The sequence below is a fragment of the Homo sapiens genome, chromosome 4 (genome assembly GCF_000001405.40).
Source record: "Homo sapiens chromosome 4, GRCh38.p14 Primary Assembly".
Taxonomy (NCBI): domain Eukaryota; kingdom Metazoa; phylum Chordata; class Mammalia; order Primates; family Hominidae; genus Homo; species Homo sapiens.
Genome location: NC_000004.12, coordinates 151,441,236 through 151,458,096, shown reverse-complemented (window position 1 = coordinate 151,458,096; position 16,861 = coordinate 151,441,236). Strand labels below are relative to the sequence as shown.

Below are 16,861 nucleotides of genomic sequence, written 5' to 3'. Positions count from 1 at the left end.
ATAACATTTACCTTTACTGTGAAGACAGAATAAGATAGCACATGTGCCTGGCACATAGTAAGTGCTCAATAAATGTTAGCTATTTTTTACAATCATTATCATTACATGACTACTCTACTACCATTATCACTACAGGGACCATAAACTGGTAGGCTTCAAGCCAAATCTGGATTTCCTGTTTGGCCATCAAAATATATTTCTGTTTTTGTTTTATTTTAATTACCTTTGGAGATAGAAGTATTTTCCAGTCTGTCATAGTTCTTACCATTCCTCCCTAGAAACTTATATTCATATTATACTACCTGCCTGGCCTCTGAGTTTGTGATCCCCACCCCTCCAAAAAAGGTCTCAGAGATACCTAAAAAAGGGGCGGAAGGGGAGTTAAATCAAAGACATTATAGAACTAGGGCAGCCAGACAGTATACTAAAAAACACCTTTTTTAAAAACACAGAAAGGAGCCACTAATTTCCAAAAAGGTTAAGATTTCTCAATCAGTCAAAAGACATATATGTGACAGGTGGAGGGAAAAGGAATAAACTCTACTTTGCAGTTTTACAGTCAGTAATAAGTTCTGGAACATGGAGAATTTGTGAGGTTCTTCTAAAACACAAAACCCCTCTCTCCCTTTCCTGGTAGGGCACAACACGGATAGACCAAATAGAATAATTTCAGATTCAGAAAGCACACTTCCAGGGCCAGGGCTCTTCCCTACATGCAGAAGGCCACTGCTCAGGCAATTTCCTGTTCCAAATGCACCTGTCAGTGGTCAAGGGCTTAAATTCACCTAATAGCTTCACACATATCAGAAACTTTAAGTTGTCTGACATTTCATATTTTTCTATTCTTACTTAGCCCACACAGGTTTTCCATTAATGATAAAAGGACATAACTAATAATTCAGAAACACATACCTTCTTAACATACATCATTTATGGGGAAAAAAACTGTTAAAATTACCAAAAAAGCCCCACTACAAGACCATATTTACCTATTACAGAGATTTATTGATATGAGAAAACTAAACAACTATAACTCTCTAATTTATTAGAAAATCTCCTTCTGTCATTCCCAGAAGTCTATCCATTGAAAAGATCCTCTTTAAAATAATGTCATTAGCTTTCAAATACTCTAAAATAATCACAATAATACTGTAAAATAAAAACAAATAGGTTTTTTTCAAGCTATACAAAAATTTTTTGAAATAACTGCAAAGTAAAAGGTAGACAGGGCCAAAATTATTGTCACAATAACCAATACAACAATCTCATATGAATCCAACTCATTATTTTTATGGAATCTGTTTACCCTCTGCTCTGGGAATCCAATGTAAATGCAATCAAAATCATTTACATTGAAAAAAAAGTAAGGGCATAACAATAGTTATTTCTAAGTGGCCAGATTATAGATGATTTATTTTTCTTTTGTGTGTTATGTGTATGTTTTCTAAGTCTTCTGCTCTATAAAAGTTATACTTTCATTATGAGATTTTAAATGTTTATATATTTTAACAATACTGTATGTAACCATGATTGGTGGATCAGGGTACATTTCCAAAGTGCCCTTAAGAAGTCCCATAAGGAGTCAGAAGTAAATGTGCAGAAAGTAGCTCTCTACCTGATTTTCCTTATTTGCTTTCCCTTCATTTCATCTTCCGAGAGGTTTAATGCCCAACTCTCCTCACTTGAGTTCCACAGCACTCCAGCTCTGTACCACACAATGAAATCCTTAGTCCTTTCCACCACCCGCTGGCCCTGTCTTTTACTTTGCATTTATTTTGAAAAAATTTTGTAAACCTTGAAAAAAGCCCATTTGTTTTCATTTTAGAGTACTGAAAGCTGATGTTATTTTAAAAAGAACCTTTTCAATGGATAGACTTTCGGGAATGACAGAAGGTGATGGAGATTTTCTAATAAATTAGAGAGTTATGGTTGTTTAATTTTATCATGTCAATAAATCTCTGTAATAGGTAAATATCTTTACAGTCCTACAGTGGGTTTTTTTTGGTGCCTTAACAGCTTTTTTTTCCATAGATGATGTATGTTAAGAAGGTATGTGTTTCTGAATTATCAGTTATGTCCTTTTATCACTAATGGAAAACCTGTGTGGGCAAAGTTAGAACAGGAAAATATTAAATTTTTCTATTCTGTTCTCTAGGGCTCAGTGCTTCCATCTAATATTCCAGACTGCTTTCAACAGGAACTGTGTTTTATATGTTTTATATACTTCCACAGAGTTTAATGTAGCTCTCAACAAACAGCAGACTCCTGGTATCTATTTGTTAAACATAAATGAAACAACTAATCAATCAATTAATTAACAGTAAAGTAAACCCAGCTCTCTGCCTCTTTGCCTTCAGAAGCAGTGCTATATTCTGTGTAATAACAAAGACTGAAATGTGGTCCCACTGACCAAGATCAGGACCACTGATGGAAGGCTTTCAGAAAATACCCACAGCACTGAAGGAAGAAGTGGCATCTCCCTGAACCGGCTCTGAACTTCCAAAATATGAGGAAAAGACCTGGGGGGTGGGCCACACCTCAAGAAAGTAATGAAATTGACTCCTAGTCCTTCCATGGTTCCTTTGGAAAGGCATGCAGTGCTAGCTCTAGACTCCTAATCCAGCCTCACTATTACAAAGAGAATTAAACCAGCAAACAGTAGGAGGCAGGAGTAGCTGATCCCTGCTGAGGGATGACCTGCCCTCCTTTAATGACAGCAGTGGTTATCTCAGTTTACAAAGCCTATAAAGCATTGGCAAGGTTTTTAGAGTTCTTACACAAGGTGCTATTATTACAGTGACACTGAAGACTGGCTAACAATAGAGGAAACATCTTTATATTCTTTGGCTTTGATAGCTTTAATTATATTTTCTGTGAATTTTCAAACCAGTAAGTGTACAAACTGCATGAAGAAAAATATAAGTTGTGTGTGTAAAATTAATTTTACTAAGCCTCATGATGCTACTGTTGGTCCTTAACATTGTGAACTTGTAATTGTTAAACTAAGCAGCTTCAGAGTCAAATCATCATCTATACAAATCAGAGTTCAGAATGGCAAAATGTGGGGAAGGGTTCCTGGATTTGCCCTCCCAATAAGATCTGGTATCTCTGTTCCAAACCACAGTGAAGAATGATTTTTGTTTTGCCAGCGTAAGCCACCAAGAATTGCAACTAGGTTATGGGGAAATCCACATAAGGGGCCAAGGAAAATTAACATTAAGCCACATAATCTTTTCCATTTTCACACACAAGCTAAAAGTTAAGGAACGTATTTATAAATATTCCTACCTCAACTTCTTTGACGCTAACCTTCCAGGCAGTTATAACGAAACATTCATAGTCAAACATTGAGTTCTCATGATTTCAAAAATGTCCTTCAACACCCAAGTGTATCACCTGGAAAAAAAAAAAAAAGTCCTTCAGAAAAACACCTGTGCATTTCCCAGACCTTTTGTGTTTTACTATAATCTCTGCTTCGGATTTCTAAGGCCTAATTTGCCTCAACCTTGCTCTGTTTTCTTCATTGGACTGGAAGTTTTAGGGACATGCGTGTTTTAAACAAACACAGCTATAAACACTTAGGAATATAAAAATTTTACATTGAGGGAAAAAGGTAACAAACTTACTAGCCTCTTTAGTTCTGCAAAAGAGCTATTTCAGAGTCTCTGTAGTGGAAAATGCCTGCATTTTGGCATAGCTTGTTCTGTGTCATACAAGCAGACCCAAAGTTACCTATAGGAACAGTCTTTGGCCCAAACAGGGAGGAAAAGAAATGGCTGCCTGTCTTTCACACCAATAACTCCAATGGCTCTTGATGTGCCTCCAATGTGATATGCCTAAATCAATAGGTATATGAATGCCATATCACAACCCTTTAAGAATCAACTCTCTGTCTTAATCCAGTGATAATTAAAAACCCATATTTTAACACTTTTCCATAATAAAATCAAAAGGACATTGTATTATACCTGAAAGCTGTGATGCCCAGTAATATCACTTCTAGGAAATGTATATTATGTACATTCCTATGGGAAAAAATTATGTAAAAAATGTTTATTCATCACAGCATTACCTGTAATAACGAATATTTGGTTTTTAAAAAGTGTCCCATAAGGAAGTGGCTAAATATATTATTATATATTCATAGGATGAAATACTATGAAAAATTATAAATCGTGGTTTTTGGTGTTTTTGTTTTGTTTTGTTTTTGTTTTTGTTTTTGTTTTTGAGATGGAGTTTCGCTCTTGTTGCCCTGGCTAAAGTGCAATGGTGCTATCTCGGCTCACCGCAACCTCCGCCTCCCAGTTCAAAAACCGCCACCTCCGCCTCCCAGTTCAAGCGATTCTCCTGCCTCAGCCTCCCCAGTAGCTGGGATTACAGGTATGCGCCACCACGCATTTGTGTTTTTAGTAGAGACAGGGTTTCTCCATGTTGGTCGAGCTGGTCTCGAACTCCCGACCTCAGGTGATCCGAAATCAGGTTTTTAGAATAAGAATAATATCAACTCAGCATTTATAATATCTCATGCCTGTTCTGAATACTTTACACACATTAATAAGTTTGTTGTATGTGTTACATGAATTTAATGCATACAATAAACTTGTACGGTGAGTATATTATCATTATCTCCATTATTATCCCTATTGTAGATGACAAAATAAGGCACTGAGAGGTTAAATGACTTGTCCAAGATTGCATAGCTAAGTGGCAAAGCTTGTAGAATATTTAATGGTATGGAAAAATGCTTATATCATAATAGCAAATGAAAAATTAAAACTATGGGCCAGGTGCAGTGGCTCATGCCTGTAATCCCAGCATTTTGGGAGGCCAAGGCGGGCGGATCACTTGAGGTCAGGAGATTGAGATCAGCCTGGCCAACATGGTGAAACACTATCTCTACTAAAAATACAAAAATTAGCCAGACATGGTGGAAGGCGCCTGTAATCCAGCTACTCGGGAGGCTGAGACAAGAGAATCGCTTGAACCCAGGAGGTGGAGGTTGCAGTGAGCCGAGATCACGCCACTGTACTCCAGCCTGGGCAACAGAGCAAGACTCCATCTCAAAAAAAAAACAACTATGTCCAGTATAGGCCTAATTTTATAAAATATCAATGTATGTTTGTGTGTGTGTGTGTGTGTGTATGTATATATATATATATACGTTTCAATGTCTGCAGACATAGGAAAAGGTAAATACTAGAAATAAATATGCCAAAATTTAATGGTGGCTACCTCTAGATGATGGCATTACAGTGTTTAATATATACTTTCTCTATATCCAAGATGTTCTAGAATATAAATGTATCTTTTTTTTTTTTTGAGACAGAGTCTCATTCCGTCACCCAGGCTGGAGTACAGTGGCGCCAATCTCTGCTCACTGCAACCTCTGCCTACTGGGTTCAAGCAATTCTCATGCCTCATTTTCCCAAGTAGCTGGGACTACAGGCATGAGCCACCACACCCAGCTAGTTTATATATACATCTATATACATATATAGACAGATACAGATATGGTTATTTATTAATTTATTTTAGTAGAGACAGGGTTTCACCATCTTGGCCAGGCTGCTCTCATACTTTTGGCCTCAACTGATCCGCCCACCTCAGCCTCCCAAAGTGCTGGAATTACAGGTGTGAACCACCATGCCAGCCTGATGTATCACTTTTATAACCAGAAAAATTTACATTTAAAAAACTAAATGCTTAATTAAACTCTGGAGGTAAAGTGTTCATATCTCCTTTCACTAAGGTGTCCATATTTTCCAAGCACGGACATTTTTATCTGCCAGAATACAGAGCACTAAAAACCAGAGCATTTTTCAAATGAGCATTGACAGAAGGTAACATCTTCAAGTTTTACATTTGATAAAATCTCCTTTGAGAACCATGTTAATGAGTCTAATCTACTGATTTTCACAAAGCTTACTAATAACAGAATCCTTGTTGAGGTTTAACTTGAAAAATACATCTAATTGTAGCCAGGCGTGGTGGCTCACGCCTGTAATTCTAACATTTTGGGAGGCCAAGGCAAGAGGATTGCTTGAGCTCCAGAGTTTAAGACCAACCTAGGCAGCGTAAGGAGACCATATCCCTACAAAAAAATTTTAAAAATTAGCTGAGCATGGTGGTGTGTGTGTGGTCCCAGCTACTTGGAAGGCTGAGATGGGAAGATCTCTTGGGCCCAGGAGGTCAAGGCTGTAATGAGCCGTGAGAGTGCCATGGCACTTCAGCCTGGGCAACAGATAGAGCAAAACCCTGTTTCAAAAAAAAAAAGAAAGAAAGAAAAAAAAGAAAGAAAAAGAAAAAAGAAAAACACATGCAACTGAAAAAAAGCACTTTATTATAAAAATGTCATCAAATACTATTTGAAAAAAATTTACTGGAAATAGAGCTTTAAATTCATGTGTCCCCTGCTAATTTCAGAAAATAATCATTCAACCGTGGGTTGGTCAAAGGATCAGTAGGAAGAAATTGACCTCTTATCATCTACTTCTGTAGTTCTTGGTGTGCTTTCATAGTTCAATACACAAAGATATGGGGGAACTAGAACATTTTAGAAAGAAGGAATAGCACAGCAAAGACCCAAAGGCCAGGAAGCACAGATAATTCATTAGATTCTATCTTTCATGTAGAACTGTATTTAAAATGTCTCAGCATTCCTTATACCAAAATGAACTCCTGCTTGCTCAAGATTTGAGTGTTAAAATAAAAGGAATTATAAAAACATTAGAAAACATAGATGATCCAATCACCAGGAACCATAAAAGGCTAATGCATTTGACTAAGTAAAAATGTAAAGCAAAAATAAATAAAGTTGAAAGGTAACCTGGGAAAAATATCTATAGTACATAATGAAAGTTTTATTAACCTAAAAAGAGCATTTAAAAATCAATAAGAAAAAGATGAAAACCCCCAAAAACTATAGGCAAAGGGTACAAATACAGAAAAAGAAAGACAAACAGCCAATAGTTATATAAAAAGACACTGAGTCTCATTCTTAATTTAAAGTAATGAAGATTGGCCAGGCGCAGTGGCTCACATCTGTAATCCCAACACTCTGGGAGGCCTAGCAGGGTGGATCACTTGAGGCCAGGAGTTAGAGACCAGCCTAGCCAACATGATGAAACACGATCTCTATTAAAAATACAAAAATTAGCCAAGCATGGTGGCACACACTTGTAATCCCAACTACTTGGGAGGCTGAGGTGGAAGGATTACTTGAACCCGGGAGTCAGAAGTTGCAGTGAGCTGAGATTACACCACTGCACTCCAGCCTGGGGGACAGAGCGAAACTCTGTCTCAGAAAAAAAAAAGACGAGATAAAGAAAGAAAATTAACAAAGATCAAAACACCACTGAAACATTTGTCATTCATATGTACAAATATTAAAAGTTGTTGAAGGTGTGCGTAAAGAGAAAAATCTTAAAGACATTTGTTGCAACAATTTTGGAGAGCAAATTGGCCTATCAGAGTATTGGCCTAACAGTGGTATTACTCAGCAATATCACTGATAGTAATTTACCCTATATATACAGTTGTGTAAGCATACCAAGATATACAGACAAGAATGTTCACTGCAGCATGGTTTACAGAAGTCAAATAAACAAATACACAATCCAAATTTACATTAGAAGAGGATAGATTAAATAAATAACGGTATATCCATAAACTAGAACACAATTCACCCCTTAAAAAGTATATGGTCTATACTTCTTAGCCTATAGTGTATATGTGCTAAGAAAAAATATCCAAAAGATATTATTAAATGGAAACAGCTTTACAGTATGATCTTATTTGAGTGAAATCAAACAGTATAAATAAGAATATATAAAAAAACTATTAGGCTGAGGCTAGACATTTCAGTTTTACTTTTTATTTTATACACTTCTTTACGTTTGACCTTTTTGCAATGTATAAGCATTGCTTTTATTAAAATAAGTTTTTTCAAATAATACTTCTTGGATTCCATATCACCAGTCAACAAACTTAAACATTTTAAACTTTTATGAAATGTGTGCTCATGACAATCCCTGTCAACACCATCAAAGTACATCTTATTTGTAAAATTTTAATTTTGAGGGAATTTTTGAGTAAAGATGTCAAGGTACTCAATATTTAAGGCTGATAAAACTTAAGATTTCTAAACTCAGAGAAAAAAAGGAACATGCAAATCTATTATTTAAAAAATCATCACAGAAAAACTCAAGTTTAAAAAAAATACATTGTAAACCTTCACAGACTGTCATTTCACATTTCATCAAAAGCAAAATACGAGTTTGTGGCATTATTTAACACCATCCCAACACACCCCAGGACACATGCTGCCTCTAGAGTTAAGAATGATTAGAAGCAGAAACTTTGTATAGACAGACAAGTATTAAGATGCCACCTCCTTGGGGAAAGGATGGGAGAGGGGAGGATGGGGAAAAGTTGGTAGAGGGGAAAAAGGTTACAGTTAGACAGGAGGAATAAGTTCTGTGTTCTATTGCACAGTGGGGTGACTATGGTTAACAGTAAGGTATTTCATATTACAAAATAGTTAGGAGAGAGGTTTTTGAATGTTCTCACCACAAAGAAATGATAAATGCATGAGGTGATGAATATGCTAACTACCCTAATTTGAACATTATACAATGTATACATGTATTGAAATATCAAGTTGTACCCCATATATATGTATAATTATAATGTGTCAATTAAAAAAAATTTTAATTTTAAGATGCCACCTCCAACACTCACTAACTTGCTTAATTCTGAGCAAGCTACTTCACTTCTCCATACCTCAGTTTCCTCATGTGTAACTGAGGTTACAAATAATGCCTGCCTCAAAGGATTGTAGTGAAAATAAAATAACATATAAAATATGCTCAATACTATACCAGGCACAAAATAAGCATATCATGTATTCATTCATTCAGTTAGTTATGCAATCATTATTTTTGAGCTTACTATGTATCAGGCATCATACTAGAATGCTATGGAGATACTAAAAAAACCATCATCATCCCTGCTCAAGTTTACAGTCTAGTTGAAAAGGTAGACACTAAAAACATACAAAATGTATCATTAGAAACTGTGGTAAATGTTATGAAAGAATATAATTGGGCACCATGAGACAGACTAACCAGAAAGACCTAACTAAAAAACCAAGAAACTGGAACTCCTGTGCACTGTTGAAAGGAATGTAAAATAGTACAGCCGGTAAGGAAAACAGTATGGCAGTTCCTCAAAAAATTAAAGATAAAACTTCCATATGATCCAGCAATTCTAAACTCCTGGGTATTAAATACATACCCAAAAGAAGTGAAAGTGGGGACTCATAAAGATATTTGTGCACCCATGTTCATAGCATTCACAACACCAAAAAACTAGAAGAAACCCAAGTGCCCATCGATAGATGATAAACAAAATATGGAATATACACATACACTGGAGTATTCAGCATCAAGAAGGAAGAAAATTCTGACACATGTTAAACCATGGATGACCTTTGAGGATGTTATGCTAAGTGAAATAAGCCAGTCACAAAAGGACAAATACTGTATGATTCTAGTCTAGAGGTACCTAGAGTAGTCTAATTCATGGAGAAGTAGAATTGTGGTTGCCAGGAGCTGGAGGCCAAGGGGGATAATGGGGAATTACTGTTTAATGGGTAGAGTTTCAGATTAGCAAGATGAAAACACTTCTGGAGATGGATGGTGGTAATGGTTGTACAACAATGTGAACCTACTTTATGCGACTGAACTGTATGCTTAAAAACTGTTAAAATGCTCATTTGTGTTATGTATTATATTAGTTTCCCAGGCTGCCATAACAGAAAAACATAGACTGGGTGGCTTAAATAACATAAATTTATTTTCTCAAAATTCTGGAGGCTAGGCCAGGTGCAGAGGTTCACACCTGTAATCCCAGCACTTTCGGAGGCTAAGACGGGAGGGTCACTTGAGGCCAGGAGCTCAAGAGCAGCCTGGCCAACATGGTGAAATGCCATCTCTACTAAAAAAAAAAAATACCAAAAAAATTAGCCAGGTGTGTTGGTGTACACCTGTAGTCCCAGCTACTCCAGAGGCTGAGGCATAAGAATTGCTTGAACCTGGGAGGTGGAGGTTGCAGTGAGCTGAGATTGTGCCACTGCACTCCAGCCTGGGCTACAGAGCAAGACTCTGTCTCAAAAACAAACAAACAAAATTCTGGAAGCTAGAAGTCCAAGATCGAGGTGCAGGCAAGGTTGGTTTCTCCTGAGGTTTCTCTCCTTGGCTTGCAGATGGCTGTCTTCTCATTATAACTTCACATGGTCTTCCTTTGTACCTGTCTGTGTCTGTATTTCCTCTTCTTATAAGGATACCACTTGTATCAAATGAAGGGCCACCCTCATGACCTCCTTTTAACTTAATTACCTCTTTAAATAACCCCCATTTTCAAATACAATCACATTCTGAGGTATTGGGGGTTAGGCCTTCAACATATGAATTTTGAGTGGGCACAATTCAGCCCATAAAATGTATATTTCACTACAATTTTTTAAAAATAAACAATATAAATGATAGTGGGCAGAGGGTGAAGATCAACATATGGGAAGGTTCTAAGTCAGGAAAAGTATGGTGATTCGAGGAAATGAAAGAAGACCTGTGTGGCTGCAGCACAGGGGAAGTGATAGCTAATACTTCGAGCAGAAGTGAAATGAAAATGCATTCCTTGAAAAACATTCCAAATGTTTACAAAAACTCTAAGAACACGTAAGCCTTCCAAAAAGAACAGTCATGAGAAGGACCAACCAGCTATGTAAAAGACATATTGCTAGTTACCATACATCAATACCTTGAATTAACATTTGGAAGACCTCTCTGCATTCAAAAACAGACAAACTATTTCAGAGTTCATTTTCACACTTTTGTTACAGTCCTAAGAAGTCTTCCAAAGAGTATCTTTTAAAATAAATTACTAATGTGGTGAAATACGCAAATATTTGCCATTTTAGCCATTTTATTAAGTTTTTACCCATAGAAATATCACCACTTAACAGAAAATATCCCTTAGGTTAACTTCAGGGTAAATCATTAAATGGAAAAAAGAATGGTTACTAATTAATGTTATAATTTTATTAAAGCCAACTTACTTTTCCATTAAATTTCATAAATGTGTTAACTACAGAATCAAGAAAAACACTACAGCTCTCATATTATAAGTCTGGATCAGCATTCACAACCCATCTCCTCAAGTGCTGGCCAGCCTGTGGACTGATACCTCCAAAACAGCTATCTATCAGCAGAGCCAGCCTCACAAGCACCAAGCACCACAAGTATCTTAAGCGTCATACACCAACTTTAATAGTGTGCACTCTAAGGAAAACATTCTGAGTTATTGAATACAAGGATACATTCTCAATCACAATGTTTCACAACAGAGGTAATAGATTAGGAAGGTGAAGGAAAAAAAGACTCTAAACTTTTTAAAGCACCGAAACTTCCCAATTTTGTCAAAGATTAAACCACAACCAAAAAAAAAAAAAAAAAAAGAAAAAGAACAACACATTCATATTTACAGAAAACTGACTACTGGATATAAGCACTGCCTTTTCCTCCTGGTAAAATGAATCCTGCAAAAAAAAAAAAGGAAAAGGAAAGGGAAAAGGAAAGGAAAGGAAAGGAAGAAAGAAATCCCATGACATTATGTGTGTATATGTACAGTATATCCAGAATATATAAGGCACATCCACCAATCTAAAAGAGGAACTAATTGGAAAGATATGGCAAAAATTTATAGAAGAGAAAGCATGAAAGGTTAGTAGCCATATGAAAATAAATCCTTAAAAATGAAAGTTAAGGCCACAATAAGGTAAATTTTAGTACACATAAATCACATCTCGATTTTAAAAACACGCAGTAAGAAATGATTCCACATCCACAGGCAAAAGATTTAAGAAGTCTGATCATACCATGTGTTGTCCAAGATGGGGAGCCACAGACAATTTCATACACTGATATACTGTATCCTGGTACAACCACTCAGGCAAGCAGTTGTCATCACCTAGTAAAACTAAACACACATATACTCTAGGAAGCAGCAATTCCACTCCTAGGTTTATATCCTAGAGAAACTCTTGCACATGTGCAACAGCGCTACCTTCATAGCAATCTTTCTCATGATTATATGATTACACAAACACAAATGTTCACCAGCAGTAGAAAGTGTGATACTGCAATATAATAACATATCATATGAAATATATATATATATATATATATATTTTAAGAGATGAGGTCTCTCAGGCTGGCGTGCAGAGGTGTGATCATAGGTCACTGCAGCCTCAAACTCCTAGATTCAAGCAATCCTCCTGCCTTAGCCTCCTGAATAGCTGGAACTAAAGGTGCTCATGTATTTCATAATGTAGAAGACCTATATATATATTTAGCCTTTGTCCCCTAATTCCTGGCACAGGGTTCCTAAAGCCCTTAAAATTTCCTGGGTGATGGGATAAGAGGGATGTCTTTTATTATTCATAATAAGCCCTTTTCAAACACACCTGAATTTATGTTAATGAGGTGACTCCTGGAGGATAGGGGCTGGTTGTCATCAGAATCAATCATTTAATTAAAGGGTTGGAATTTTCATCCCCACTCCTCCACCCCCCCACTCCACCTTGCTGGGGCTACAAATAGAGTTCAATCACCAATGGCCAATGATTTAATCAATCATGCCTACTACATAAATGGAACCTTCATAAAATCCCTAAACTGCAGGGTTCAGAGAGCTTCCTGGTTGATGTACAAGAACATGTTCATATGCTGAGAGAGTGGCATATCCCAAACTCCACCAAGACTGAGGTTCCTATGCTGGGACCCTTCTAGACCTCACCCTATTTATCTCTTCACCTGGTTGTTCATTTGTATCCTTTAATATATACTTTGTAGTAAATTAGTAACAGTAAGTAAACTTTCCTTGGGTTCTACAAGCCTTTGTAGCAAATTATCAAACCTGAGGAAGGGGGTCATGAGAACCTCCAATTTGTAGCCAAGTCAGATAGAAGTTGTAGGAAACCTGGGGACCCCCTACTTTTTGTGGCATCTGAGGTAGGGGGCAATCTTGGACTGAGCCCTTAATGTGTGGGCTCTCTAACTCCAGGCAGTTAGTGTCAGAATTAAATTGGAGGATAAGTAGTCAATGTCTGCCAAGAATTAAAGAATTGGTTGGTGTGAGAAATACCCACACACATTTTGTATCAGAAGTGTTCTATGAGTATACAGTAAAAAATTGTAATCCTCTTTTAAAAAGATAATTAAATTGTAGTATATCTTACAATGCAGTGCTACACTGTAGTAAAAATAACTAAAATATGGCTTCATGAATAAACATGGATAAATCTCAAAAACATAAGCTTGCGTAAAAGAGCAAGGTACAACAGAAGTGTACATGTTATGGAATTCCATTTGTAGAAAGAACAAAAGCAGCTAAAATTAAATAATATATTGTCTAGAGATAAATATATAAAAGACAAATGAATTTTTTTAAAAAGCAAATGAGTGACTAAGAAATGAAGGATAATGGTCACCATAGGAGAAACGTGGGGAGTGGGTGGGGGACAAAAGGGATACAATGAAGGGAGGACAAACGGGTTTCTAAGGTACTGTTCATATGACATTCAATTTCTTAAGCTATATAGTAGGTATCAATGCTCATTTTATTAAGTTTCTTTAAATTATACATGTACTTATGTATATTCTTTTATATGTATATGTCTCATTTTAAAAAGCAAAATAAAAGCCAAGACTCAAATGTTATTTTTTAAAAGAACAACCTGATGTGGCTTCCATTTCAAGATGCCTGACCGCCTGCATGTCCCTCCTGAGTCCCTAATGCAGGGAGAAACATCAAAGAACAAAATGGGAGAATTCCATACTATTGAAAAGAGCTCATTGGAAGGAAACTTTAAATGGGTAAGAGATTTCAACAAATTCCTGGAACACAGGGTAAGGAGTATGCGCTCACAGACGAAACGGGGGAAAGCTGCTCTCCAAGGCCACCAAGGAGGCAATCTGCTCAATAGAGCCTGGGGAGGCTCTGGGCTCAGAGTCAACAGGTATCACAGAGTGGGGAGAGGATCTGCAGCAGGAAATAGGGGGTGAAGTGATGACAGTTAGCACTCCCATCTCTCCCTCTGCCTCTAGCACAGCCTTCACGCAGCCTGGCCAAGTGTATTGACAGACAACACATCTCAGGGTTCATTTCTAAAGAAACTGAACCAACTGTGGCAGCAGGGAGTAAGAGATGGCTTGTGAAGGCTTCTGATGCGAATTCTGATACCTCAGAGTAAATACTTCCTCACGGCATTTTGGGGGTGAAGAAAAGCTGGCCAGCAGACAACCCAGTACTAAACACACACACACACACACACACACACACACACACACACAGAGTGCTTCATTTAGAATTCTCACTCAGGGAAGAGGGATAACTGAGGAAAAAGAAGGAAAAAAAAAAAAGCTCTACATACACATCTTTTTAAAAGAGCAGAGGAAACTTTCCCATCTTTCTTTCCTTATTATGAATAGGGAACCAAGTCTACAAGGAAAACCAGTAACATGAGGGGAAAACTGACCCTGAAAGCGAAGTGTTAATTTGGGAAACAAAAGAGTACTGTACTTCAAAGAGTGGCCAGGCATGCGTGGTAGCTGAGGCTGAGGCGGGAGGATCCCTTAAATCCAGGAGTTCTATGATCACACCATTGCGATCCAGCCTGGGTGACAGAGCAAGATCAATCCTCAAAAAATGGTTGTAGTATCTTCTTGAATCTTTTTTTCTTTAAGACAGTCTCGCTCTGTCACCCAGGCTGGAGTGTAGTGGTGTGATCATAGCTCACAGCAACCTCGAACTCCTGGGCTCAAGTGATCGTCCTATCTCAGCCTCCTGCATAGCTGGGACTACAGAAGCACACCACCACGCCCAAGTGATTTGCTCCACCACACCTGACTAATTTTTATACCAATTTTTTGTAGAAACAGGGTCTCGCTATGTTATCTAGGCTGGTCTTAAACTCCTGGCCTCAAGCAGGAGCTGAACTTGAACTCCCACCTTGTCCTCCCAAAGTGCCAGCGCTATAGCCATGCACTGCACCCCACACCCAGTCAACTACAATCATTAAAGAATAAGACACAATGAAAATAAAGTGATTATAGAGAACAATAAAAAACTTTTTAAATATTTCTGAAAATGTGATCGGCAAAATAGAAATTTAATAAAATTACCATAACAGTAAGGAAATCTCTCAAAGTATATAACAAAAAGACACAAGGATAGAACATATGGAAGAACAGATTAGAAACAAAGGACCAATGCAGGAGATGCAATATCCAACTAATAGCTTCCCAATTTGTACCATGTAAATCCTCCCCTACTCCAAACCCTGAAGAACACTGAACCCAGGGTAGCAACCTCATCCAGCAGGAATGACTCCACAGGCTAAATGAAGCCAATCAAATAGCCTCTTTTGGGAATATGACTTATGAAAAATGCAGGGTCTAATACGGGCCTAAAACCAAAAGGTCATGTCAATGCTGGCATGTATAAATATGCTGACCCATGTGAGAGAAAAGAAAATAGAGAGCAGAGAAAGGAAGAACAAGAGAGGAGGCAATGACCATGATTCTTGACTTTCTATTTCCAGCCCATGCCACAGTCCCTCATGGGTCTACCAGTGCCATATAGATTAGCTGAGAGATTCTACATTTTTAAGGTTTGGGGGGTTTTTCTGTTGATTTTTTTTTAATTAATTTGAGTGGGCTTCTGTTCTTTGCAACCAACAAACTCTGACTAAAACAGCAGGTATCTATTGTCTGGAACTGCACAGTAACCAAGAGACACTGCATTATAACATGGGAACACCCTGCCTTCCCCTGCACCAATCAGCCACGCGGCACATAATCTTGGCTCCCACTGCCTGTCATTCTGTCAGCATTCTGCATAAATGTGAGCAGTGTGGTATTGTTGAACATTACTAAGATTATATGTGATCAAATGTTCCTAATAATTAAAATGTCAAAATCCAAGAGTAAACATATAGTGAATTCAATGAAACATTCAATGAAAACTTGAGATTATGGAACAATTACAAATAGGAGGCAAATGTTAACTTGCCTTACAATATGGAACAAGAGAACAAATCGTTCAAGATTTGGAAAGAAAATGAACAAATTAATGTCTTTTGTGTCCTCAGTTCTTTCATCAGCCTGAAAAATTAGAAAGCCACATAAAATTTCTCTTTTGATGAGCTTAACAAAGCTGATTTACTTAAAAAGGGAATGGAAGGCCATTGTCTAGATTAATCTGCACAGAACAAGAAAAAATATTCTTTGAAGTTCAAGAAATGGAAGGAGGGTGTTTTTACATACATGGAAGTAACTTTCACACATCTCCTGGCTGGATAACCAGAATCAAACCAAAACATGAGAATCTTAAGCCAATGTCTGAGACCCTGAAGAATGAATATTTTGAGCTTGAGCAGAGGAAAGAACAGCCAACATAAAGAGATAGAGTATGTATGTATACTTCTGTGATTAGCAACCATCTTTCCCAGACTCTGATCTCAGAGATCCATAAAATTACTTTTAAAAATATATAATATGTATGTACATATGTATACACACACACAATCAATTCAATTGCCAATGTTCTATTTTTGCAAGTAAAGATAATTCATTTGAAGCCATTACTATTACTAGGTATTAACACTATCATCCAGTTTTTTTTAAAGGTCATCTTAATACAAAAAAAAAAAAAGTAGAAAGGACTTGATCTCAGAATTTTCTAAACCCCTTGAAAACTTCATCACAGGCCAGTAAATGCACTTACTTTAAGTCAATTTTGT

At 37.1% G+C, this 16,861-nt stretch overlaps 1 protein-coding gene across 7 annotated transcripts in view; it reads right to left on the bottom strand.

Moving 5' to 3' along the window:
- Positions 1-16,861, bottom strand: part of FHIP1A (FHF complex subunit HOOK interacting protein 1A) — a 261,328-nt gene that overhangs the window by 212,407 nt on the left and 32,060 nt on the right. For 4 of the 7 annotated variants that reach the window (XM_024454201.2, XM_047416127.1, NM_001109977.3 and 1 more), the window contains one exon: positions 3,289-3,396. The exons of the other annotated variants lie outside the window; for them this stretch is intronic. The gene's annotated coding sequence lies outside the window, so the exon portion shown is untranslated. The remainder of the gene's footprint in view (positions 1-3,288; positions 3,397-16,861) is intronic. 7 annotated transcript variants of the gene reach the window in all.